Raw genomic sequence first — 24,736 nt, 5'->3', positions numbered from 1 at the left:
TCACCCAGCTCCATACAGATGTCTTCAAATTTCCTCCAGTTTACCCCAGTGTGCCACACAAATATTGTTATTTTCTATGTTGGAAAACACTGCTATAGGTAGGTTTGCCCCTATAATGTGTTCTGCTACCAAAAATCTTCTAGTTTAATTACAGACTAATTTGTTACACCTTTGAGTTAATGTGCAGTTAATGTTACCCATAGCAAACAGGCAAGTCTACATGATAACTGGAAAATGTTAAACCTACATTATTTCCTTACCCATTCTTTAACATCTCTTGAAGATCTAGGAATATTATTCTGTTATTCTGTGGGTCTAGAAATGTTTTTCTTGGCCCAAATGGTTACACTGTGTCCACTTTGTGATAAATATTGGGTACATTGTTTAGTATGCCCAAGGGTATATGTTTTATTTCGTAGTAACAAAATGTTTAAAACATTTGTTTCCTAAGACTAAAGAGATATGGTGATCTATAGATCTCCTTTGAGCATATTCTTACTTCCTGCTCTTAATAGCTTCTTTTACTCTCCAAGAAACCTTAATGAATGCTTAGCTGTATCACTGGGCAGTTGTGAGCATCATGAAAGGCATGGCAATCACTTGATAACTTATAATGGAAACACGTCCTCTTAATTTCTGGAGTATCCGGTTTTCTATATAAATTAATCACATGAATCAAATGCTATTAAAACCAACTTAAGGGTGATAATTGGCTCTTCCAATTTATAATACGAAATATAACACTGATGGGCCTGGAGGTCACTACCATGATCTACAAATCAGGGTAGGACTAGCCCTTGAAACAAAAAGTTAAAATGGATTCTAAATCTACTTGCACCTCTAGTCTTGGCAGAAATTTATTTCTTCTGCATGCCAGAAGTTCTGGCAAAGAGGTTCATAGGATAAAAATCAGACAATAGCAGATTAACTTACTGATATCTGTATTGTGTGGATGAGGATATTATCTTCTTTTTGTGAGAGTTTACTTGGCCCTGTTAGGTATATAAACCAAATGTTTATTCCAGGCTTCTATGGTGCTCCATTTAAGACAAATGCCTCATTAATGAGAGAGACACGGACCCTATTGCCAACACTCTGCCAAACTGATTTACTTGAACAATAATAAGAAAGGGACAAATATGTTCCTCCTCTGACACATCTACCGTTATAAAACATTTGCCCTGGGCTTCTCTTGCCTTGCTAGTGCACAGTTAGTGTCTGTCTGCTGTGAGAATGAAACACCCTTGAGAGCTTGAGGCCACAACTCAGGCCGAGGTGTGAAGGGAAAAGAAGACAGCTTACCCAGCCATCAACATTCACACATGTGGATTTACAGAACAGACAACAAAGCTATCAATCGGAGCCCATTCCATTTCATCTCATGTGAGTTACATTATTGTAAAACACTTAACCATGTCACATGGCTTATTAACATTGGCATTTGATTTTGTAAAGATGCTTTATGTTTAAAGAAATTATGTAGTGCACATTTCTGCAAACGTGGAGGCAAATGAAAAATTAGCACTACAGAGCCTGATCCTCCACCAAGTCTTGTCTCATTTGCTTCTTGTAAGGAACATCTCTTGCTTCCTTTCTCCACTTGTTTATATGCTTTCTTTCCAACCTTCTCCCCTTTCTTCTATTTCTACAGCATAGATCGCGCCCTCGGGCGGTTGAGCTTTAAAAAACAACAACAACAACAACAAAAAAAAAAACAAACTTCCCAGGTGCAGCATACTCTCTCAATTCCACCTCCCGGCGATTTTACTTTTGGCCTGAGTCCAACACGTTCCCAAGAGCTGGACACAAGTTGTCACGATCATGAACCTAACCACACTCCCCCCTGCGGCCAATTTCCTATTTTGCTGTTCAAAAGAGGGAAATGCACATATCAAAAGGAAAACAGCTTGGTGCTGGCCAGCTGCAGAAGGGTGGAGGTCTTTGGTGCTCAGAAGAGAGAGCAGCTCCTGCGGCAGTCCTGCGTGTGTCGCTGTCCAGACCTCGGTGCTGAATACTAGGCACTGGTATCTCCCGCCAGGTTCAATCCCTCAGGGTTCGAATAGGCTCCACCATGGGAGACTGAACTCACTTCCCTAGGGTGAGGGGTGGAGAATTCATTTAGATGTTTCCTTGCTCTCCTCCCACAGGAAACCATTTTTCCACAAAGAGGCATTGTGCATTTTATGGGAAAGTAATGGCACAGCTCCAGCTCAGCACCAAAGTGAAGAGCTCTACTGAGGCACAATGGAAAGTCGAGGTAAATAAAAACTGCTCTTTCCCTCCCTGAATCAACACAACAGCTTTTGGGATCCTAGATCCCCTTGTTGACGAATTCTTAAAAATATGTTTTTTTAAAATCACATGATTAATCATTTTACTGATAAACACCCTAAAAGGTGGTGGTGGCGCTGGCTTTGCAATATCGGAGTATAACTACTGATATTGTTTTACTGAGGTTGAGAAACAAAGGGGAGGAGGGAAGTAAACTTGTAAACTAAGGTGGCTTGAATGGTTAAAAATTCATTTTTAATAGTATTGCTTTAACATAGACATGCTAATTTTCTCAGACAATTTAGAACAGAATTGGGACAGTAGTAGCTTCCCTTCTTCTCCTTACTCTCCTAGCCTCTCTCTTTGAAAGACCTAAGAGCCTTGTTCTTCATAGCAGGTGCTGATGCCCAAAGGGCCATTATAAGAATCCTATAGCCTCCCCCCCTCCCCGCCACACACATGAGATAATAAAGTAAATACAGAGAAAATGGATGGAAGGGAGGGAAAGCACTCCCAGCCTTTGATTCTTGGTAGTTATGTTCAAGTGGGGCACTTCTCTTTGAAAAGTGAAAATGTTTCTCACGGTACAGAATTTATGGGCAGACAAGGAGCAGACTTAACTGATCCCAGCAAACAGTTCCTTCCTTTTCCTAATCCCTGGCTGCTTATTTTAGCCGCTTCTCCGCCCCGCCGGGAATACCATTCGGATCTTAGTCCAGGTAGATCTGACGTCAAGAGATGGCTTTCGTCGATTTGACGTGTAAACACTCATTTCCATTCTGGCTGGGAAGGGCTGGGGCTCCACTCAGCCTGGAGACCGAAGCGCTTCACTGAGCGCTCGCCGCCGCCCAGCCTCTCCTCTCGCGCCTCCTAGCTCTTCGCAGAGCAACCAGGAGCCAGGAGTGGTCTAGAGCCCGAGGGTGGGAAGGGGGAGTCTGTCTGGCTTTTCTCCTATCTTGCTTCTTTTTCCTCTTCCCTTCCCACTCTTGTTCAAGCGAGTGTGTGAGCTATGGAGCGAAGAGCCTGGAGTCTGCAGTGCACTGCTTTCGTCCTCTTTTGCGCTTGGTGTGCACTGAACAGTGCAAAAGCGAAAAGGCAATTTGTCAATGAATGGGCAGCGGAGATCCCCGGGGGCCCGGAAGCAGCCTCGGCCATCGCCGAGGAGCTGGGCTATGACCTTTTGGGTCAGGTAAGAGTTTCCACTTTCAAGAAACTTTCTGGGGCCCCAGGGGACTGGCGGGACTGGAGCGCGGTCTTCCAAGTGGGAGCCCCAGGTTGCACTCTCCAGAGCCCAGAGTAGCAAAGAGCAAGGAGCTGCTCCAGCCCTCGCCCCTGTCGCGCTTGGAGAGAGAGAAAGCTTGCATTATTTACTGTTTAGGCTGGGCGCAGCCAAGCAGAAGGAAGCCGCTGCAGCTGGGTAGGGCTTATGCTTACTGTTGGCCGCTCTAGAATTGAAATCCGTTCCCGCGCGGTTTGGAAGAAAAATCCCTCCACGCTTGTTCAGGGAACTTGAGATACACTCAAGCTCTTACCAACCAAGCGCCCCCGGGAGAAGCAGTGCGCTCCATCCCCCGGGACTGAGGCGGTCTGCGTCAGGAGCCGGCTGTTGCCTTCTTTTCAATATGGCAGCATCAGATCCAAGTCCTGATGCAAGGGGCTAAGCAGGCTTGGGGCTGTCCGCCCTGGCAGCCTGTAAGGGCACGCCCAGGGCATTGGAAGAGTGCCAGCTGCTGGGACTCGCGACCAGGAGGTTGGGAGGCCGCGGAGTAGCCTGGGAAGCTGGGGGGAGAAATGGTGGGTGAAAGACACGGGACCATCTATCCCCGCGACTCTCTAGGGAGCTCCGGCTTTTCACTGGGAACTTATAAAGTCCAAGCTTCATAACTTTGCCCGGCCAGTCCCACTGCAGGGTCGAGATGCCGAACTGACTATGGGGAAGGGATCTATTTCTTTCTTGTTCTTCAGCCAAGTACGTAATCGTTTTCCCGGGAATTTCAGCTTATTGTTGCCTGTCCAAGTGAAGGCTTGGTCGATAGGTAGCTGGTTGGAGGTGGGTGGGCGTCAAGACATTAAGTGGGAGACTGCTTATAGCTGAGCGATTCCGAGGGGACCCTAGGGAGTGTGACTTCTAGTCTAGAGCTTTCCTTTCCTTGGCTCGGAATCAAGCCCTCGCCCCCTGCTTGGGAAGTTGGTCTGCATTGAAGCGTGGGAGGAGGCAGTTGTAAAACATTTTGGCGCGTTTTTTCTGGAGGTGGTGGTTGAGACGCCGCTGGAGTCACGGATGAGTAATCGGCGGGGGCGTTGGCGATTCTGTAGACCGAACCCTCTGGGGAATTCGCCTGCTCTTGCTAGAGGCTTCATTCTCAACTTTATAAACCAAATTGTCTTTGAAATGCCCGAAAGGAAAATCAATGCAGATTGGCTTCCTGGTGTCCCAGCAGCAGATGAGTCTTTTGCTTTTGGCCAGCCCTTGCCCTCGTGCCAGGCTCCGTGTTAGGGGCTGAGGAATAAGAGGAGGGAAAGAAACGCTCTCAAGTAATCAAGAATCTAGAGGAGACTAGCTTAGAGATAAATGATTGCAACTGATTGTAATTTGTGTAATCATAGAAGTTGTACTTGAAGTCTCAATATTCATTGGTTGAAGGAATGAAAGTAGTAGGGAATTCGGGAGGGGTGAATGAAAACTGCCCAAAGGAGAAAACATTTGCTCCGGGAACAGAAGTCAAAGGTTGCCAGGAGCACATAATGAGATCGGAGAAGACAGTCTAGGCATAGAAAACAGCTTGTGGGAAAACAGTGAGACATAATACAGTTTAGTAGTAAGTCTGGGAATTGCACGCAATTATTAGGAATTTTTGAGACCCAAAGAGGGTATGAGTAGCAGAGGAAATTGTGCTGGTGGGTACTGTGGACATCATACAAATCATGTATGACCTATGGGGGTGGACACTGGGGATTTAATTGTGTATTCCTTGAGCAGCTACTGAAAGGCTAAATAGCACTGGTAACCGTGTAGGAGGAGACTGGGGAAGACAGCAAAAACTAAATCTCTCTTCTTTTTCCCACCTGTTAGCTCTAGGCATGCATCTAAACCTAGACCATTCAATGTGAAAACTGCTTTTCAAAATAAATAAACATAAATCTTAATAGTAAAAAACAATACATCATCATTCTTGGGAGGATCTTTGAGTAAGGGATAGCATAGTCACAAAAGCATTAACAAATAGTGGGGGAAAACCATCTATATTTATATATGATTTACAATACTATCTTTCCTCTAACCATTTTTAGTTAAGATGGCATTACTAACAAAAGTTTTAAAACAAACTTAACAAAATTATTTTATTAGAATAATAATTCTTTGTAGAAGGCTGATAGCACGTTCCTGGTTCTGCTTATTTCTCTTTTTGTTTAATATTACTAAAATTACACTAATTTAGCATTACTATATTGGGTACCTTATTGCCTCAGGATAAAGCTTGGATTAAGGTAGTGACAAGAAGAAAAACCAGTTGACAGCAGAGAAAACAGAGCTAAGCACTGGTGATCTTTTTCTGCGGCTGCTGATTTCTCTCCCCAGTTCCATCCACAGCTTATAGGAAGATTCACTGAGATTCAGGCTTGGAGCAGGGCCTAAGCTTCTCTATTTTAAAATTCTCTGGGCGATGAGAATCACCAATTTAAAGAACACGTTTCTTCTGTAATATACTGTTGTCAACTGTTTGTTTCTTAATTTTAAAAATGCAGGGTTACCTAGAGGATTTGGTAGCCTCAAATTTAGTACTGAGTAAAGGGAGACTAGCTCAAAAGAATAATGAATATAGTCCTAAATGAACCAAAGATGTCAATAGATACCCGGAGAAGTACAAACCCTCTAAAGTGGGACAACTGCCCTAAATGTAGCATGTTCTTTTCTGAAAGCCTTGAATTAGTGGAAAATCAAACGATCACTAATAGTGGCTAATAGCAATTTATCACTATGAATTCAATGGCTACATTTTATAACAACGATAATTTATTTTAGTGGAAAGTGGCACTGACCATAGATAGTATCCCAGGTGTTTGCCTGCTTACCACAAATAATTGTTCTTTGAACAGATATATTTGATTAAATGAGCATTTTAATATGATATTGTCACACATGAAAAACATGTATTTCCTCCAATGTGTGTAAAATAGAAGCATCACTAGCCTCCTACTGTGAGCTAATGAATATACTGTGAACTCAAGCAATAATATTCTGAGGGTCATCTTAAGACCTCTATCAGTGCCTTCTTCATGAAGAATGTGGATGGAGCTGGAGGCCATTATTGTTGGCAAACTAACACAGGAACAGAAAACCGAATACCGCATGTTCTCACTCACAAGTGAGAGCTAAATGATGAGAACACGTAAATACATAGAGGGGAACAACATATACTGGGGCCTTTTGGAGGGTGGAGGGTGGGAGAAGAGAAGGGATCAGAAAAAAATAACTAATGGGTATTGGGCTTAATACCTGGGTGATGAAATAATCTGTACAAAAATACCCCGTGACACAAGTTTACCTATGTAACAAACCTGTACTTGTACTGCTGAACTTAAAAGTTTAAAAAAAGAAAAAAAATATTAATTTCAGATACCAGGAATGGGCTTAATAAAAGTTGCCTATCTCTAAGTTAGCTGAGTTTTAAACTAGTCCATATATACTTGTTTGGGAACGTGGATATTTATTTTATTTCTTTCCTTTTATAGATTGGTTCACTTGAAAATCACTACTTATTCAAACATAAAAACCACCCCAGAAGGTCTCGAAGGAGTGCCTTTCATATCACTAAGAGATTATCTGATGATGATCGTGTAAGTGTTGTACATTTGTCTTCAAACCAATACTCTAGCTTATCTGCTTTCTTTATGATTTCTAATAAAAACAGAAGCATTTTGCAAATGTGGTTTTTTTTTTATTGTGACCAAGATTGTTTATCTGTATTATTTCTAATTTCTTTCCATAAAATTATAATGGCACATAATAATAACAAGATTGGGTTGAATTGGTTGAGCCAAAGTTAATTTTACACATATATACGCAGTTTAATTATATAATTACATATATATCTAAAGTTAATTTTATATGTACACTCACAAATTCAGTCTAAGAGCATGAAAGTGAATATTTAAAATGAGAGGGCAGCACTAATAAAAATGTTTGACAATACAGTCAATCAACAACCTTTTATTAGGTACCTATTATGTACCAAACACTTTAATACCAATGTGGGCTCAAAGAAATACATGGGCCTTACTTTCAATAACATTTCAGTATAACTGAAAAAAAAGTCTATTATTTCTATTTGGTTTTGCTGTATAAGGAGCTAGTGTTTATGAGAGAACTGTAAATCCATGTCTTCATGAGGCAAATGTTTCCATAAGTAATCTATTGTTGGATCCAAACCATCTGATCTCTTTTCATCCTAGTTTGTATCTTGGTTCAATGATTAGGTTACAGCAGAAATAAATATAGGTAAATAAGGTAGAGGCAGTTTGAATAGATAGCTAATGTACCTATTGATTTTGAAGTCTATTTTCAAGGTCAACAAACATATTAGAAAATGTTTACTATGTTGGGAGTATTGTAATTTTCATACAGTGTTGCCTTTTCTCAAAGAAATGCCATACTGGAAGAAATTTATCCTGATTCGCCTGATATCTGTGTACATAATTTTTGTTACCTAGGACAACCTGGAGAATTAGAATGAGAGATCCTCTTGGTGAGAGGATTAAAAACATCCTTTCAACTTCCCAGGGGGAAAATATATATATATGTATGTGACAGAAAGGTGATAGAACTGTTGAAAGTAGACGAAATTCATGAGGACTGTAAGATAATTTGCCCTTTTATTCATTCTGAAACTGATAGAATTTTTAAAAGAAGAAGAAAAAGACAAATTATGAGGGTAGGGAATGGGAATGGCCTGGGTCACCAGTGTTCGAATGTAAAAGAAACAACAACATCCTGACAATGCTGTATTAGGACCACGGACAGTGACCGTATAGCTCATCTACACCCACTGCTAGCTCTTTTTTGTCAAGTTATTGCTTGATGTGGGAGACCAAATCAGAGGCCCTGGACCTTATTACAGAAGTTTCTTGTCCACTGAGGTCTTCCCTTACTCACTTCAAGGGAGAGGGCTCATCGTGTGTGGGCTCTGAAAAGCAGAATAACTTCTAGCACTCTGGCTAGGCTTAGTCCCCGGGCTAAGCAGAAGAGAGATTTCCTTCTTTGCCTAAATGCATGCCCAAACTGCATGCCCATTAATGCACATAGAACTCAAACTGACCTGCCTTCTCACTTTCATAGGAGAAAATTGGACAGAATAGAGCATACCTAACTGTTATTCTTACTCAAAGTATCTCATGACAATGAAGATGGCCCATTCTACTCTTTATACATCCCCTTGATAGCTGATTTGGTGGGGGAGGGGTGGAATCTCAAGACATTATGAAAAAATGCTAAGAATTCCTTCTCCAGCACAGGTATAACTTTGTAAAAAATTAGCCCAAGAATAATTTTATTTTAGGAAACATTCTGGAACCATAGAAACTTGCATTGGAAGGTTGAATTAGATGATCTTCAATGCTCTTTCCAGATCAAAAGTATTATTTATAATTAAGTACATGATACCTATAATGCATAATAGAAAGACACTACCAATTTTCCTCTATACCATTCAGCCTGCTCTTCTAGAGATTAATACATGATTCTGAGTTAATGACATTAATCATAACACTGTTTTCTACAATTGGATGTTTATCTGATCAGACGGCAGAGTGCCTCCTCTTATATCCCATTTCCAAAAAATTGCTCTTGGTTTTCATTTTATTGCTCTTTTTTGATGGAGGATAATATTCTTTCAAATCAGCCCTGTGAAATGCAGCAACAGTCTATCTTTACAAGTCTGTTAATAAAATCTCCAAGTGTAAGTGACCCTCTACCTCAAAGATTAGTACTTATTCCCTAGCAGTCAGCTTCCAGAGATCAACTCAGATGATAGGCAGCATTCCAAGCATTGAGGTATTTTAAGCCAAAACAATTAAGCTTGAAAATACAAGCACTTTAAAAATAAATCATAGTGACTAATTTCTAGCTTTCAGGTTCTTCCCATTATTTTTAATAGGTTTGCAGTATATTTTTAATTGAAAATTGAGGGCAGTCTTAGTGGATGGTTTTATCCTTCAGTTGCAAATTATTTTTCGGTTTTTATTTTTGGAGCTGATTCATGAGTACTCTCACATTAACAATATTCCACCACACACTGAATTGTCATCATGCATACAGCAGAAAAGATGTGTTTGGGGTAGGAAATAGTCATATTGCCAAGAAAAATAAGAGTATAGAATTATCTCATAATGAATATAACTACAAGGCAGCCCCTCACTCTCTCAGGGCTTCAAGTATAATAGTATTATGCTGTAAATATGGGGCAGGTAATTTTCGTATTGTCAGATCTCTTTGCATAATACATGAGACTGAATTAATGGTAAGTGTGCGTGGTCAGTAGTGCTCATTCATCACCCAGGATCTGTGTCTCATATTAAATACTTTTAAGCAGAGGTCGAAGCACAGGGGAGGGAGTTTCAAATTTGCATGGATACAGCACCATTCTTACTTTATAAAATATTTGCAATTTCTACCTGTTGTATGTAAAGACAGAGAAATTAATCTATAAAAGCATTATAACAGCAGTCTCTTGGCTTGTTGACTCAATCCATAAAAGCAGACAAATTTTCAGCCATGGAGCCCTGAAACCTCAATATAAAAATGAGTATTATGGTCCATTTGCTGATGAAAGCAGACTGAACTTTTGCTTCCACTGTAACCACAATGTAAATAATTTAGGGAATTATCATTTCACTGACTGCTTCTCCTCCCCCTAAAGGTGCACTTTACTGTAATAGAGGAAATATTCATCTCCCCAGTGGGCAATCCCTTCTTCTCACTGAGGTGCCAGTTTAATCTGTAGTCAAATGAAAATATTGCAGAGCTGCCTGAACTCTGATGGGAAGGGTACTGGAGATAGTTAGAGGAAGTATACAGAGGTAGATATTTGACTTTTGATTTTCTTGCTATAAAAATCCTTGTAGGTGATATGGGCTGAACAACAGTATGAAAAAGAAAGAAGTAAACGTTCAGCTCTAAGGGACTCAGCACTAAATCTCTTCAATGATCCCATGTGGAATCAGCAATGGTACTTGGTAAGTACCTACAGAAGGACTATGTGGGTGGGACCTGGGACCTGGCTTCTTTATGTTGTTACATTTGCAACATGGATTTTTTTTTTTTTTTATGATGGAGAATTTCATAGGGAGCTATATTGTCTGGAGATTAGGGCTGATGGGATCTTCTTGATCTGCCTCTTCTGTTTTGCTGAGTAAGGATGTTGGAAACAGATATCTTTAGCTGCTGTGAAAAAAATAGGTTGTATTTTTTGTCTTCTTAAGTTTATTTGGGATAAATGCAGAAAAATAATATCTTGCAGGTTAGGGTTTCCAAAAACAGTACTTGTGGCAAAAATCTCATTTGGTTAAAGTTATTCTTCAGAACCCTTTAAAGCACTCACAGAGTATAGTGAACATAATTTGGCATATACAACCCTGAATGACAATTCTTATATGACACAGATGAGAATCTCTGAAAGAGGTTAAAAGAAGGAACACAAGAAAAGTCTATTGCAAATGTCTAGACTTGCAAACCATTCTACCTTTAAGATAGTTACCAAATCCTTGAGCGAAGAAATTGTTAAGTGTTGCTGTCTACCTGCAGGGTGTCCTCTCTTCTGTTTAATGTTACGTCTGTATGGTAGTAGTATAGGCTAATAGAAGGATTTGTTGTTGAGAATTTTATAAAAGATTATTTCTCTTGAAAAACACAAGCTAAGACTTTGATACTCTTGTTGCATAAGGGTTAGAAAAGGGGATCAGTTTCTCTTGACCCTACGTTTTCTTTCTTTCTTTCTTTCTTTCTTTCTTTCTTTCTTTCTTTCTTTCTTTCTTTCTTTCTTTCTTTTCTTTCTTTCTCTTTCTTTCTTTCTTTCTATCTTTCTTTTTTTTTTTGACAGAGTTTTGCTCTTGTTGCCCAGGCTGGAGTGCAATGGCATGATCTCAGCTCACTGCAATCTCTGTCTCCTGGCTTCAAGCGATTCTCCTGCCTCAGCCTCTGGAGTAGCTTGGATTACAGATGCCCGCCACCATGCCCAGCTAATTTTTGTATTTTTAATAGAGATGGGGTTTTGTCACATTGGTCAGTCTGGTCTCGAACTCCTGACCTCAGGTGATCCACCCGCCTTGGCCTCCCAAAGTGCTGGGATTACAGGCATGAGCCACCGCACCGGGCCTCTTGCCACTATCTTAAGTATTTGCTCATTGCAGCAGAAGAGACTTATCAGTTAACACTTGTGCATTTCCTGTGTGACAAACACTATTCTAAAATGTTTGATATGAATTAATTCATTTTGTTCTCATGATTGTCTGTGTTGTAGAAATAGTAATTATGCCCATTTAACAGATGGAAAAACAGAGATATTGGAAAGTAGAATAATTTGCCAAAATCCATGGCTGCTAGTGGTGGGACTATAATTCACGACTCCAGAGTCCATACTCTTAACAACTACAGTCTAAAATTGTTCCTGCAACTGACATAGAGGCCTTCTTCTCTGACTTTGGCCAACAATCTGTGTACAGTTCCAGCCTCCTGTGATTCAGCTTCATACCAGCCTGGCAAATACTTGTCACCCCACCCCCCAACCTCTTTATGGGGAGGAGGGCACAAAAGCAAGAGGGCAGCTCCTTCACTGACACTTTTGATTGTGGTTATTTATAGATTTCTTATTGACCCTTTCACCGGGTACCTGGCATTCTTTTACTGTCTCTGTCTCACATGCTTAGAAATGTGCTTATATCTGTGTTCCCTTGCTACCCTGTACTTATCTCCTGTACAGTCCCACACTCTGACTATCAGAAAATGTATTTTAAAAGGAAAACCCTGAATCTCCTCTCACAGACACTTACCCCCTAAATCACTCATACTTAAAAATAGGCAATCACATTGCAATTCCTGAGGCAATCACAGTCTCCTGAGCATTCCAGGTTCTGCTTTTTCCTTTAGAATAAAAATTCTAAAACATTCATGAATGACTATGCACCAGGCAATATAATGAGAGCTCAATGTGGCAATGGAGAATCAGGATTTGGGGGGAGATGAAAACATCGACTATCAAATAGAGCTTCCATAGATGAAAGGGTTGAGCATGTTATTATAAATGAAAGAAATTTAGGGATAAAATTCTTCAAAGCCATGTAGTTCAAAGAGAAGGAGCACAGGTGATTCATCTTTTCAAGTGATGTCCATTTGGGACAATCGGGAGAAGAGCAGCACTCTGGGGGTTCATTTGGCCTTACTCTCAACTTTGTTTTCTCATTTCACTGAATTGGCTTCTTCTAAAGAGTAGAGTGACCCAAGGAAAAAGAAAGATGGGTCTCCAGGTTGGAACTGAAGTGCCCATTTTGTAGCAAGCAAATGATAATTTTATCAATGCTTCGTTGTTTTTCTTTACCAGCAAGATACCAGGATGACGGCAGCCCTGCCCAAGCTGGACCTTCATGTGATACCTGTTTGGCAAAAAGGCATTACGGGCAAAGGAGTTGTTATCACCGTACTGGATGATGGTTTGGAGTGGAATCACACGGACATTTATGCCAACTATGTAAGTGTGTGCCTTCTCATGACTGTGACTTAGGGAGCTGTCTGTGCAGACACACAGTTAGGGCTTTCCTTCTTTTCAAGGGGATGCTGCTCTGGTGTCAGTCCCTGGGATTATGGGCCAAGGTTATGTCCCTTCTCCCACTTCCCACTAGCTTATATGAATTTATTTTGTACCAGTGGGCATTGAAATAATTCAGTGGGATCAAAAATTGTACAAAAGTATATGTGTTGGGAGAAGAAGGGGCAGTGCCTACACCAATTAAGTTACCAAAATCTGATGACTTTGAGTTGCTCAGTGTTTGGGGCATTAAAGTAATCAAATCAAGCCCCTTGCCTGAGATCATTGTCACAGTTTCCCTCCTCACCTCTTTTATGAGTCTATATCCCTGACATTGTAAAATTATATGAATGTGATTCCTTCCATGCAAATCCAAAGTGAATACCACACAATGCACCTATGCCAAGCTGAGAAAGGAAAAGTTTTCTAGAAATGGGAAAATAAATAAATAAAAACAATTTGCTTCATTGTTTATTAAGTTTATAATATAATATGAACACCATCATATATCTTAGGTCTTTAGATCAGGAGGCTGGTGTTTCATCTTTCAGATTATCCCTTGTTTTTCTCTCATCCTTTCCACCTATCAAACATTCCCCAGCTATAACACCAAGCTAAAGAGCCAAGGAAAAGAGAAGGAAAAATAGTAGCACAGAGTAGAAATTAGGAATGATTGAAATATACGGAAAGCATTGAAAAGTAACAGTAAGGGTATGCGGGAGGCGTTTAAGTGTAGCTATTGGGTTGGAAAAGGGAGTGGAGCCTGGAAGCTTGTCTTGAATTTCAAGCACCCTCTCTCAAATTAAATTACATGTTTATTTAGTGTGCCTGGGAGGCTGAAGGAGAGCACCATGGACCTGAGTCCCACCCTCAGCCACTTCTTTGCACCTATATTCATAAGAGAGATGAGTGTCAAAGTGTCACTAACTAGCTTTATGGCCTTAGGGAAGTCATTTAACTTCTCTGGGCCTCAATTTTCTCATCTGAAAACTGAGATGACTGAACTAAGTAAACTAATTCCTTCCAACTCCAATATCCCATGAGTGCCTGTGAACCATAGGCTTGGTAACATTCACTGAGAATTGAATGCTGGCTCACCTGGCTGTGTTCATCATCTCTGCCTGGTTTGTGAGTAAAATAAATATTCAGTGACTCGGCCAGAAACTCTAAAATGCAGGCTTTTGAGCTATCAGCCAGGATGGGAAGGCATAGGGTAAGAGGCTTGGGAAGTGATGCTTTTTTTTTTTTTTTTTTTTTTTTTTAATGCTGCCACAGTGTTATATTTTGTTGTCTCTTTAGGATCCAGAGGCTAGCTATGATTTTAATGATAATGACCATGATCCATTTCCCCGATATGATCCCACAAACGAGAACAAGTGAGTAAATATGCATTTGTGTGAAATAAAGTACTTTACAATGCTTTTATCTTGTTTGAGAAAATTATACCATATATTTCATCCACATTCCAGTGCTCAGGAAATGTTAATGCACAACATCCATACCACAATATTTTGTTGCTTTTAAAACAGAAACCAAAGTTTCTATTTTTATATTCCCTTTGGTTTATAGAACCATATTTTCATTAAACTTCTTACATTATGAAATTCTCCTCTCAAATGTTACTGAACTGTTGTAGCTTTAGAAAGAATGTTTGAGACATAAAGAGTACACACTTTGAGCCCATCCCTCCCCTCAATTCCTCTATGAATCTTTTACTCTTAGCAACATGCTTTATGTTAGTCATGAAAAGAAATATATGTAAAGAAATGGATATGAACAATGCCCACAACTTCTGACGGTGGCTACAGTCACCTTCACCAGTTCTCTCAGAAGAGCATGGCCAAACTCCAGACAGAGAAATGCCTCTGAGGTCTGGCCCCTGAATCCAACACAGTCTCCAGGGCATTGAGCCAGCCGGAAGTCTCCTCCAGAGTTCCTGCTGCTATAAGGCCATAGGAAAGAGAGAGGAGACAGCACCCGACTCCCAGATTAACTCTCTGTCCCTTGAAGCCACATTATGGTGAGAGAGGCCAAGAGCCACAGAGGCCAAGAGCAAGATCTTCTAAAGGGAGAGGTGAAAGAAAGACCCAGAGGCAAGAGACTTTCAACTTCTCTCCTAGCCCCAAAGAAACTTCACGCTCTAGGCATGTGGACCCTCAAAGTGTCCATGCCCATGGGAGAGACCATCTTTGCTCATACCGATGTTCTCACAGACATCAAGGAGACACTCAAACTTTCCTTTTCATTTTCTCTACACAGAAGAGACTTGCACCAAAATGATCAAAGCCAAGGTCAAAATTAGGGCTTGTTGCTACAAGTGAGGATGGAAAAAGCCAAGCATCTAACAGCTCTTGGTATATGTCACATGAAGCGCTTCTTTATTCTCTCTGGATGGCACTGTCTCTTGGACTGTTACCCAACTTGGGTCAGACAAGTCTGTCTCTGTCTCTCTCTCTCTCTCTCTCTCTTTCTCTCTCTCTCTCCCTCTCTTCCTTCCTCCCTCCCTCCCTCCCTCCCTTCCTTATTCTCCCTCAGAACTCCCAAGTGGCTGGTGCAGTAATACTGATCTAAAGTTATTTCTTTCTTTGGATAGTCTTCCCTCCAGAAAGCCAACAAACCCCAGGATGGGAGGCTGGGGTACATGGACTTGGCCTCAACTTCTGGGTGTTTATTTCTTCCTTGGGGAAAATGGGAGGCTTGTGGATAGTTCAGGGATATGACTTCTTTCCGTACCATTTATTTCTTTGAGGGTGACTAAAGGGGTTAACCGCAAATATCCCTTAGAGGTGAAAACATTCCAGTAAAAACACAATAGGAACCACTGGCAAGGGTACCTTTGGAGCAAAGTGGGAGTGTTTCGAGAGCTTACAGCAGACCCTCAGACAAACTTTTTGCTATATGTCTGAAGCAGGATAATGCAGGACCAGTAAGGACATCTACTCTTTTGGGGCACAGCCTTGCAATGTAGTTATGGCTTTGCCAATTCCCAGAGTAAAGGGTGACCTTGGAGAAATCACTTACCTCTCTCTGCCTCTATTCCATTTTCTTCCCCTAAACTGGGTGACAACGTACCTTCTCCCTATGTTTCTTAAATGAACTTCCTGAGGAAATGGCTAATAAGCACTTGGAATAATAAGCCTTCTTAGAGTGGAGTAGAAACAACTTTCATTCCACCCCCTTGGTTAAGACTACGGGAAATCTGTTCCCAGACACTTGAGGAGACTTAGATGGAGGCACTGGCTCCTTCCTAGGCAGTATACGGTCCTTCCAGGCAGATCCTGGGTCTGGCCCCAGGATCCAGTGTGGGTGATAACTTGTACGATGGCTGCATAGTGGGCGAATTCTTGATGAAATGACATTCTCTGGAGTTTTTCCAGTCAGGAGATGGAACACTCAGACCTTCCTCAAAACAAAGGGGATCTCACAGCACAGCATTTATAATAGTTGTTTTATATATATGAATATAATAATTAAAATAAAATATAATTTCCCTGACTCAGGGAGTTACCTGCAAAGGCCCTAGGGAAGCAGCCCATATAATGCTATTTGTTTTGTGCCTGAAAGCCCTGAGCTTCCAGATCATAGCCTGCTGTGAATCTTCCACACAGCATTGAGAGAGCATGTCATAGCCCAACAGTTAAGAGCAGACTTGGGAGCCAAATTTAGGTCAAATTTTAGATCTGCCACTTAGTAGTTGGGTGATCTTGAGGAAATTATTTAACTTCTTTGTGCTTAAGTTTTATCATCTTTTGAAAAAGAATCTCTACTTCCTTGAGTTAGAGGTATTAAGTGAGTGTATATATATATAGAGAGAGAGAGGGAGAGAGAGAGAGAGAGAGAGGTATTAAGTGAGTTTATATATATATATATAATAAGTATTATATAACATATATAATACTTCATTGAGTTAGGGGTTAAAGTGAGGTTTTATATATATATATATATCTCACTTAATATATATATACATATAAACTCATTTAATACCTCTAACTTAATGAGGTAGATTATTTATCTATATCTATATCTGTATATCTGGCATTTAAACAAATTGATTTGTTTAAAAATTATTCCACAAGATATTTAAATACTACCCTTATTCTGGTTAAAATATTCTTGTCACACTTGTTATTTAAGCCATATATGTATATGTGTGCATATGTATATATATGGCTTAAATAACATGTGTGACAAGGATATTTGGCTTGGACATACACATATATATGGCTTGGACACTGGTACACAAAAAAGTTAAGTAAGTGTTTGCTGTGGTGATGATGATGATGATAATGATCACAGCTTCTCATTTAGTAACTGAGGTAGACCTTCTTTCAGTGAGAAATCAACATGACAAGAATAATATCATCCGATGGGAGCAGCAGAGACAAGTCAATTTTCTGAGCCAATTCAGAATCTGCTATTTGGAAATGACATAATGAGCAACTCTCTCTCAGGATCCTCTTGACTATCAACCAAAAAGGTGGCATCCTTATCATTTATCAGAAGGTATAATAAAAAGTAGATTTGCCTTCTAGCATGTTGTCAGACATAAAGCCCTTAGGTTTAGAAAATGAATGGCTCCATTTTGTCTTGGCCTTTACAGCAATTGGAGAGGTATTATACCCCAATTCCAAGGTTATTATCTCTTCAAACTATCAGTATTGCTGTTGTTCTTTATTACCACGTAAATGAGATTAATAGAAGCTACATTTGAATGCTACTCTGAAAGTCAAAAGAGGAATCACTAAATAATAAAATCTTAACAGTGCAGGTAATGCTTACCATTAAGCTGGCATAAATCTGTATTCATTATTTCAACACCAATTACAGATTGTTTTTCTAGTTAAATAACAAATGTGACAAGGATATTTTAACCAGAATAAGGGTAGTATTTAAACTATCTCATGGAATAATTTTTAAACAAATCATTTTGTTTAAATGCCAGTTACTACCATTGTTCTAAGATAATAGAAAGTTCTTTACTGCAGCACCTCACTTAGAAAAGAAAAAGAGCTGCGGCCTATAAAGAATGACATAGGAACACTTTTCTTTCTCTCAACGTTTGGAGGTGGAACCTGAGGATAAGAGGAGGAAAACATGTCAATGCATATTTGTACCATGATCCTCCTGCAGCTCTCACTAGAGAATAGTCGTCCATATACAAGGAGAGATAAATAATAGGTGCTGTCACACTGCATCATTTTTTAGGACAAAGGCACAAACCTGGGGATGTCTGTCAGCAGATTGATTCTGTTGGCTCAGGCTGAAGACCTGCACTGGATTCTTTTGCTGACCTGAGCCTTGTCTCCCATCCTGTATACATGGAAATATATAAGAAGGCAGTGGTGACTTCTGGAAGTACATTTCTCAGAGATGACAACTGAATTACTCCTTCTACTAAGGCAAAGAGCGTTCATCCATCCACAAAGCATAAGTTGCCTTCTGTATGTTCAGATGTGTGCACTTTTCTCAGAGAATGGTGTGGTCAGGACAGCTTCAGTTGCAAATGAAAGAATCCTAACTCAAAGATTAAGTAACAAAGGGATTTTAAAAATATTCACCCAAGTGATGTTCTAGTTTCTGATGTTTCAAGATCCAAGAGCTCAAACAATATGTTCTCAGGACACCAAGCACTCTGTTTCCATCTCTAGTGCTGCTCGCCTCTGCTTGGCTTCACTTTCAAGAGAATCCTGCCTGGCAGAGCAAGACCCATATGACTCACATGGAACTTAAAGCTCATAATTCTCAAGAAAGAGTGGGGTTTCTTCCCTATAATCTACATCAGTCCTTGAAAGTTGTCTGAGAGGAGGGGCCCCATGATTGAAAAAAATCACAAAAAGTCAGGAGGGCTGCTTCCCCAAACAGGAAAATGCTAGCATACATAAAAGAAGCAGGTGTTTGCTGCATCAGGAAAGATCTTGAATTAAAGATAATTATATTGTCCTGACTTAGAATTCCTAGCCAGGATTAACATGAAGGAGCAGGAATCTTATTTTGTGGAAGGAGACCAGGAAATCATCTTTGCTACTTCAGGAAAAAGAGAAGTTGAACAATTCTTCTTGATGGCCAGTCAATTTAGGAATTTTATATTCCATGCTATGCTGAATTAATAGATGGCCAGTATAGTAGAATTGAAATGTAACTGGCCAACATTATTGCTCCGAGCTAACCCTTCCTCTCTTTCACTCTATGTTGGTATATCTGGTAGGCTCCTCCAAGCCACCAACAGCCTTCACACTCTTACAGGTTGTTTCCACAATAGAATAAAATCACGAAATAAATGAATTCACATTAATGTGCTTTTGGCTTGTTGGCCCTCCTGAGTCAGGATGGTGGTGGGAAAAGACAATTATCATCCTCAGAATTTCAGAATAGATGCTTTAGTGGTGGAATTTGGTGTTTGGAAGACGCATTTTTCTTCCAAATACTCTGAAATCATAAATTACCCTCTTTGCTTGACTGCAAAACCAATCATGTTCAGGCTTCTGGCCCCAGTTGGGATTTCAGGAGCATCTTGGCTTTCCAATTAGCTGGTAATGTCTTGCAAATATCTCAAGCTCCTCTTGGTACCAGATAATCTTCAGACATTTTAGTGTGGCATATATTTAGAGGAGAGGAGGAGGGCTTAATAGGGGACTTGTTCTAGGATATCCTACTAAGGCTGATCAAGGATAATCTAATCCAAGGCAGTCACTAGGGAGAAAAGTGAGGAGCCACTTTGCTACCAAAAAGTACAAAGCAGAAGCCATTTCTCTGAAATTGTTTCTGAATGTCAGAGTTCTTATAATAGTATCAATAGTTAACACTCACTGTGTTCTTACTATCTGCCATCCACTGCTCTAAGTGTTTTACATATAATTTGTCATGTGACCAAGCCTTTGCAGACAAGTAACTTACCCAAGGTCACACCCTTAGTGAATGGCAGAAGCCAGAATTTGAAATCACATACTTTGTCTCTAATACTTGTGCCCTTCATCTGAACATAAGTTTTATGTTATACTAATTTAAAACAAACAAACAAAAACAGTAACAAGGCCGACAAAAAGTTAATATACCTATGCCCCATTAATTCATTCATATGCAAAACAAATGTTTGTTCTTCTGTATGTTTTATAATTCTTATTTTTCAATCCTCAGACACGGGACCAGATGTGCAGGAGAAATTGCCATGCAAGCAAATAATCACAAATGCGGGGTTGGAGTTGCATACAATTCCAAAGTTGGAGGTAAAACAGAGGATTGTCCCTATAGCTTGGCATTTTAATGTGAAGCTTACATCACCCATTGTAAATGGGGGAGGGGAGCTTTTCTTTTTAACAACTGGAGGAACAAATTAGTTCCATGCCAAAGTTGCTACAGGACTTGAATATGATTTGCCAGCGAGTCAATAGATATGGATTCCTAGAAAATGGATAGTTGAATATAGCCTATACATCTTTGCAGGAAAAAAAAATGTGGAAATGTTGAATAGCATTTGAACCAAATCTAATTTTCTCTATGTTCTGATTTAGAATGGTTTGTTATTGAGTGCTTGCTAAGGAAACAGAAGGAGGAGGTAAATTTAGGCAAAGACTTTTCCTGCCTCTCAATTCTGTAGAAGTTCTTCACTTTATAGAGAAGAACAGCTTCAAAATTTAAAAAAAGTACATACTTATTATATTAAATAGCCAAATTTTATCTTTTATAGCAAGGATGTAGGATTTAATTGTTTTCATCAGTGTCCTTATGGGGAAACACATGGTAAGTTGCATTAGGGCAACTGTGGACATTTTAATAAAGAAACGATTTACAAGAATTAGAGAAAACCAACAAGGGGCTAAGAAGTGGTAGGCAGATGTTATCACCTTTAGCCTCAAGGAGCAAAGGGAAGAAGTCAGCAGAAAATAGAGAGGGAAAGCTGTGGTCACAGGAGAGAGCCACTGGATAGGCCTTGAGTACAACAACAGAGCCACTTCTAGGCAAAGGGGATTCAGGGGTATAGGCACCTCATTCTCCTCTTGATTCCCACCCTCTTGCTGGTGTCTTCAGTTGGCTGAACCCAATGGGAAGACAGAGCCCATTGATGCAGTCCATGTTCTAATGGAGAAGAGTGGAAAGTGTATCTGCAGGGGCCAAGAGAAAAGAAAAAACTGTCTCTCCTCTTTATGCTATCCCAACCTCAGGCTTTCATGTTATGTTATAAGCTTCAAGTTTAGTTTGGTTTTCAAAAACCATAATCACAAAAAGAATCAATTGTAGAACATTTCAATTACAATAAAACCCCATTAAACTCTACATGAGTATACCTTGCATTTGGTTATGCATTTCTTTTTAGAAACCAAATAAATATACATCGTGACATGTAATGCATCTTTCATGAATATAGGGCACTCTTAGAATTTTAAGTGTCATTCCTGATTCCTTTGATACTAACATCTTCAAAGTGTTCTGTTAATTTTTAAAAAAAATGAAGGGAGAAGCACAAATTATGTAATTAGCTAGTAAAAGAATTCACTCTTTTAGTCATAATGAACGAAACAGCTATAGTTTGTGAAAGAATCATCTGATCCCTTCATTTTGTAGAGAAAGAATCAGAAGCAAGCTGCTCAAGGTAATGAAAGCAAGTTTGTGGCAGTGTAGAACTGAAACACAAGATTCCAAGCCTACTGATGTTTTCCATTACTCCATCCTTTGATGGTCTGGCCCCAAATGCATTTTTTACCAATAATCTTCATTTATTAGGCACCTATTGTATGTCAGTTACTCTACAAATATTATAGGCAGTGTATCCTGGTGGTTAACAGATTTAGGGGCTAGATTTGTAGGGTTCAAATTCTGGCTCCCCAGTTTCAAGCTATGTGGCCTTGAGCAAGTCACTATCCCTTCCTGGCCTCAATCTCTCCATTTATAAAGTGAGGAGAATTACGGCACCCACCTCAAATGGTGGTTGTAAGGTTTAGATGAGTTTATACATGTAAAGCCTGTGGATTGGTGGCTGCATATAGACTATCATGAATGCACATGAGCTGTTATTATCATCCCTATTTTACAGTTGAAGAAACTGAGGCACAGAGGGTTAACTGGCTTGCCCAAGATTCCACAGCTGGTAAGAGCAGAACTGGGATTTTTTTTTTTTTTTTTTAGACAGAGTCTCACTCTGTCGCCCAGGCTGGAGTGCAGTGGCGCGATCTCGGCTCACTGCAAGCTCCGCCTCCCGGGTTCATGCCATTCTCCTGCCTCAGCCTCCTGAGTAGCTAGGACTACAGGAACCCGCCACTACGCCCGGCTAATTTTTTTTTTTTTTTTTTTTTTTTTTGTATTTTTAGTGGAGACAGGGTTTCATCATGTTAGCCAGGATGGTCTCGATCTCTTGACCTCGTGATCCGCCCGCCTCGGCCTCCCAAAGTGCTGGGATTACAGGCGTGAGCCACCGCACCTGGCCGATTTTTTTTCTAAATGCATTTTTTTTTTTTTTTTTTGAGACAGAGTCTTGCTCTGTTGCCCAGGCTGGAGTGCAGTGGTTGCAATCTTAGCTCACTGCAACCTCTGCCTCCCAGGTTCAAGCATTTCTTGTGCCTCAGCCTCCTGAGTAGCTGGGATTATAGGTGCGTGCCAGCATGCCTGACTAATTTTTGTATTTTTAGTAAAGATGGGGTTTCTCCATGTTGGCCAGGCTGGTCTTGAACTCCTGGCCTCAAGTGATCCACCCACCTCGGCCTCCCAAAGTGTTGGTATTAAAGGCATGAGCCACTGCGCCTGGCTCTAAATGCATTTTTGAACAATTTCTTTTTTACAAATACAACTTTCACTGATCATATCAATTTCATATCATTTTACCTTTGCTCCATAGTAAATAAGTGTGAAAATCTAAGGCTGTGCACTTTATTGTATTATGAGCCTGAAGCCAGAAATAACCAGGTAGCTGCCTGTAATCTGTCCAGATTGTTTTTGCCTTCCTGGCTCTTGAATTCATAAGTCTGATGACGGGTGACAGCCTGTTGGAAAGCACAAAGAGCTACCGCACCTACATTGTCCTGATGAAAAATGATTCCCCTTGGGGGTGAAATCCATGGCAATGATTTCATCCTTGAGATTATTTAGAAGAATAGGAAGCATGTTCCTTGAAAATGTTTCTTAGCAAACACATGAAAGGATGGCCTCTGGGTTATTTTTAATCAGGGCTTAGAAACAAAAGTGCTTTCCCTATTTGTTAGTTTCCTGTTGTGACTAGATCTTTTGAAGCTACATGTTTCCTGTCCAGAGTCCTTGTGTGGCGTAGACTGGGCCACAGCCATTTGTGGGACAGCCATGAGGAGGTGCATCACCAGAGGGCTGCTTGGAGGGTCTTTCTGAAAGCTGGTCTGTCATTTAGTTGGGGTGGGAGGGAGGGCAAACATTTTGTAATTGACAACAATCACGGCCACTTCCTCTCATCCAAGGATGCTGCTCCACTTCAGACTCAATGCCCAGAGCTTTTGCTGGGAAGAGAGCCTTGAGTGGGACCAAAAAAAAAAAAAAAAAAAAAAACATCACAGCTGCCTACACAGTGCATGGTATTGCATAGTATTATCTCTAAAGTGCGACAAAAAAGCTTATGGGGGCAGCAACATGTTCCTTCCTTCTGTGGTGTCAGTAGCTGGGTTACAGAAATTGGGGACATCTATCTAGTAGTTACCTGGTTTTTGACTCTTAAAATCCTTTAAAAATACAAATAGTAAGAGTATTGGGCTTTTGTCCATGTACATACTGACATCAACCTTTGTGTGTCTTTGTTTATTTTGTTTCTCAGGCATAAGAATGCTGGATGGCATTGTGACGGATGCTATTGAGGCCAGTTCAATTGGATTCAATCCTGGACACGTGGATATTTACAGTGCAAGCTGGGGCCCTAATGATGATGGGAAAACTGTGGAGGGGCCTGGCCGGCTAGCCCAGAAGGCTTTTGAATATGGTGTCAAACAGGTAAGATGCTTTACACAGACCCACATGAAATGAAACCTGACCATCTGGATATGAGGAGAAGGAAAGAACACTTAGGTTACATGGAATAACATTGTTGTGGATTTCTTAACAAAGTCCTTTACAATTTTAAATGCACTTAGAGGGCCAAATCATTCTTCAGAGGGATGGGAGTTAAGGCTTAAGAAAGTTTTCCCTATTTGTGGCCAGGCGCGATGGCCAAGGGAGGCAGATCAATTGAGGCCAGGAGTGGCCAATATGGAGAAACCCCACCTCTACTAAAAACACAAAAATTAGCCAGGTGTAACTAGGTTGCACTGTTCTGCAACCTAGTTTAGACAGTGAAACTGTGGTCTCAACTTAGATGCCTATAGTCCCAGCTACTCGGGAGGCTGAGGCACAAGAATTGCTTGAACCCAGAAGGCGGAGGTAGCAGTGAGCTGAGATTGCAGCATTGCACTCCAGCCTGGGTGACAGAGTGAGACCCTGCCTCAAAACTAAATATAAATAAATAAAATGAATTTTCCCTATTTGGGTCTGAGGTTGAATGGAAATTTATTACTTTTAGCATATTTATTTTAAAAGTGCTTCTGGACATTTCTTTCTCCTTACTCATTTTCCTGCTGCTTTTGGGTTTTTACACTAGTAAAAAACTACTCAGTCTTCTTCCAAGCGCGGAAATGCTTTTCAAATATAGAAACGTGTTGCCTTCTGCTCTGCACGTGCCTGTTGAA

General features: G+C 40.3%; 2 protein-coding genes, 1 long non-coding RNA gene and 1 pseudogene across 14 annotated transcripts in view, besides 3 other annotated features; 1 reads left to right on the top strand and 3 right to left on the bottom strand.

Moving 5' to 3' along the window:
* LOC102724070 (NADH dehydrogenase [ubiquinone] 1 alpha subcomplex subunit 5-like) overlaps positions 1 to 3,049 on the bottom strand; it is a 61,527-nt pseudogene extending 58,478 nt beyond the window's left edge.
* Positions 1 to 24,736, bottom strand: part of CAST (calpastatin) — an 813,255-nt gene that overhangs the window by 338,361 nt on the left and 450,158 nt on the right. The window lies entirely within an intron of this gene.
* The window catches only part of LOC101929710 (uncharacterized), a 669,085-nt gene that overhangs the window by 194,763 nt on the left and 449,586 nt on the right, over positions 1 to 24,736 (bottom strand). The gene's annotated exons all lie outside the window — the stretch shown is intronic.
* Positions 1,904 to 2,198: a silencer, noted in NCBI's record as "tiled region #11450; HepG2 Repressive DNase matched - State 12:CtcfO, and K562 Repressive non-DNase unmatched - State 10:DNaseD". NCBI's record gives its function as "represses a minimal TATA promoter and a strong SV40 promoter by Sharpr-MPRA in HepG2 and K562 cells {active_cell/tissue: HepG2 | K562}" and the evidence as "EXISTENCE:reporter gene assay evidence [ECO:0000049][PMID:27701403]".
* Positions 1,923 to 2,042: a silencer, noted in NCBI's record as "silent region_16191". NCBI's record gives its function as "represses an Ori minimal core promoter by ATAC-STARR-seq in GM12878 lymphoblastoid cells {active_cell/tissue: GM12878}" and the evidence as "EXISTENCE:reporter gene assay evidence [ECO:0000049][PMID:35858748]".
* PCSK1 (proprotein convertase subtilisin/kexin type 1) overlaps positions 3,075 to 24,736 on the top strand; it is a 42,916-nt gene continuing 21,254 nt past the window's right edge. The window contains exons 1-7 of one of the 2 annotated variants that reach the window (NM_000439.5): positions 3,075 to 3,460; positions 7,006 to 7,110; positions 10,393 to 10,503; positions 12,864 to 13,010; positions 14,367 to 14,443; positions 20,202 to 20,290; positions 23,833 to 24,005. In NM_000439.5, coding sequence (NP_000430.3) covers positions 3,281 to 3,460; positions 7,006 to 7,110; positions 10,393 to 10,503; positions 12,864 to 13,010; positions 14,367 to 14,443; positions 20,202 to 20,290; positions 23,833 to 24,005 — 882 coding nt within the window. In that variant the 5' untranslated portion in view covers positions 3,075 to 3,280. Of the gene's footprint in view, positions 3,461 to 4,162; positions 4,241 to 7,005; positions 7,111 to 10,392; positions 10,504 to 12,863; positions 13,011 to 14,366; positions 14,444 to 20,201; positions 20,291 to 23,832; positions 24,006 to 24,736 lie in introns of those variants that run through there. The other variant, NM_001177875.2, reaches the window with a different exon arrangement.
* Positions 9,144 to 9,438: a silencer, noted in NCBI's record as "tiled region #7163; HepG2 Repressive non-DNase unmatched - State 24:Quies". NCBI's record gives its function as "represses a minimal TATA promoter and a strong SV40 promoter by Sharpr-MPRA in HepG2 cells {active_cell/tissue: HepG2}" and the evidence as "EXISTENCE:reporter gene assay evidence [ECO:0000049][PMID:27701403]".

The sequence above is a fragment of the Homo sapiens genome, chromosome 5 (genome assembly GCF_000001405.40).
Source record: "Homo sapiens chromosome 5, GRCh38.p14 Primary Assembly".
Lineage (NCBI taxonomy): Eukaryota > Metazoa > Chordata > Mammalia > Primates > Hominidae > Homo > Homo sapiens.
Note: the sequence above shows the minus strand (reverse complement) of the source record. Positions and strands in the feature narration are given on the sequence as shown.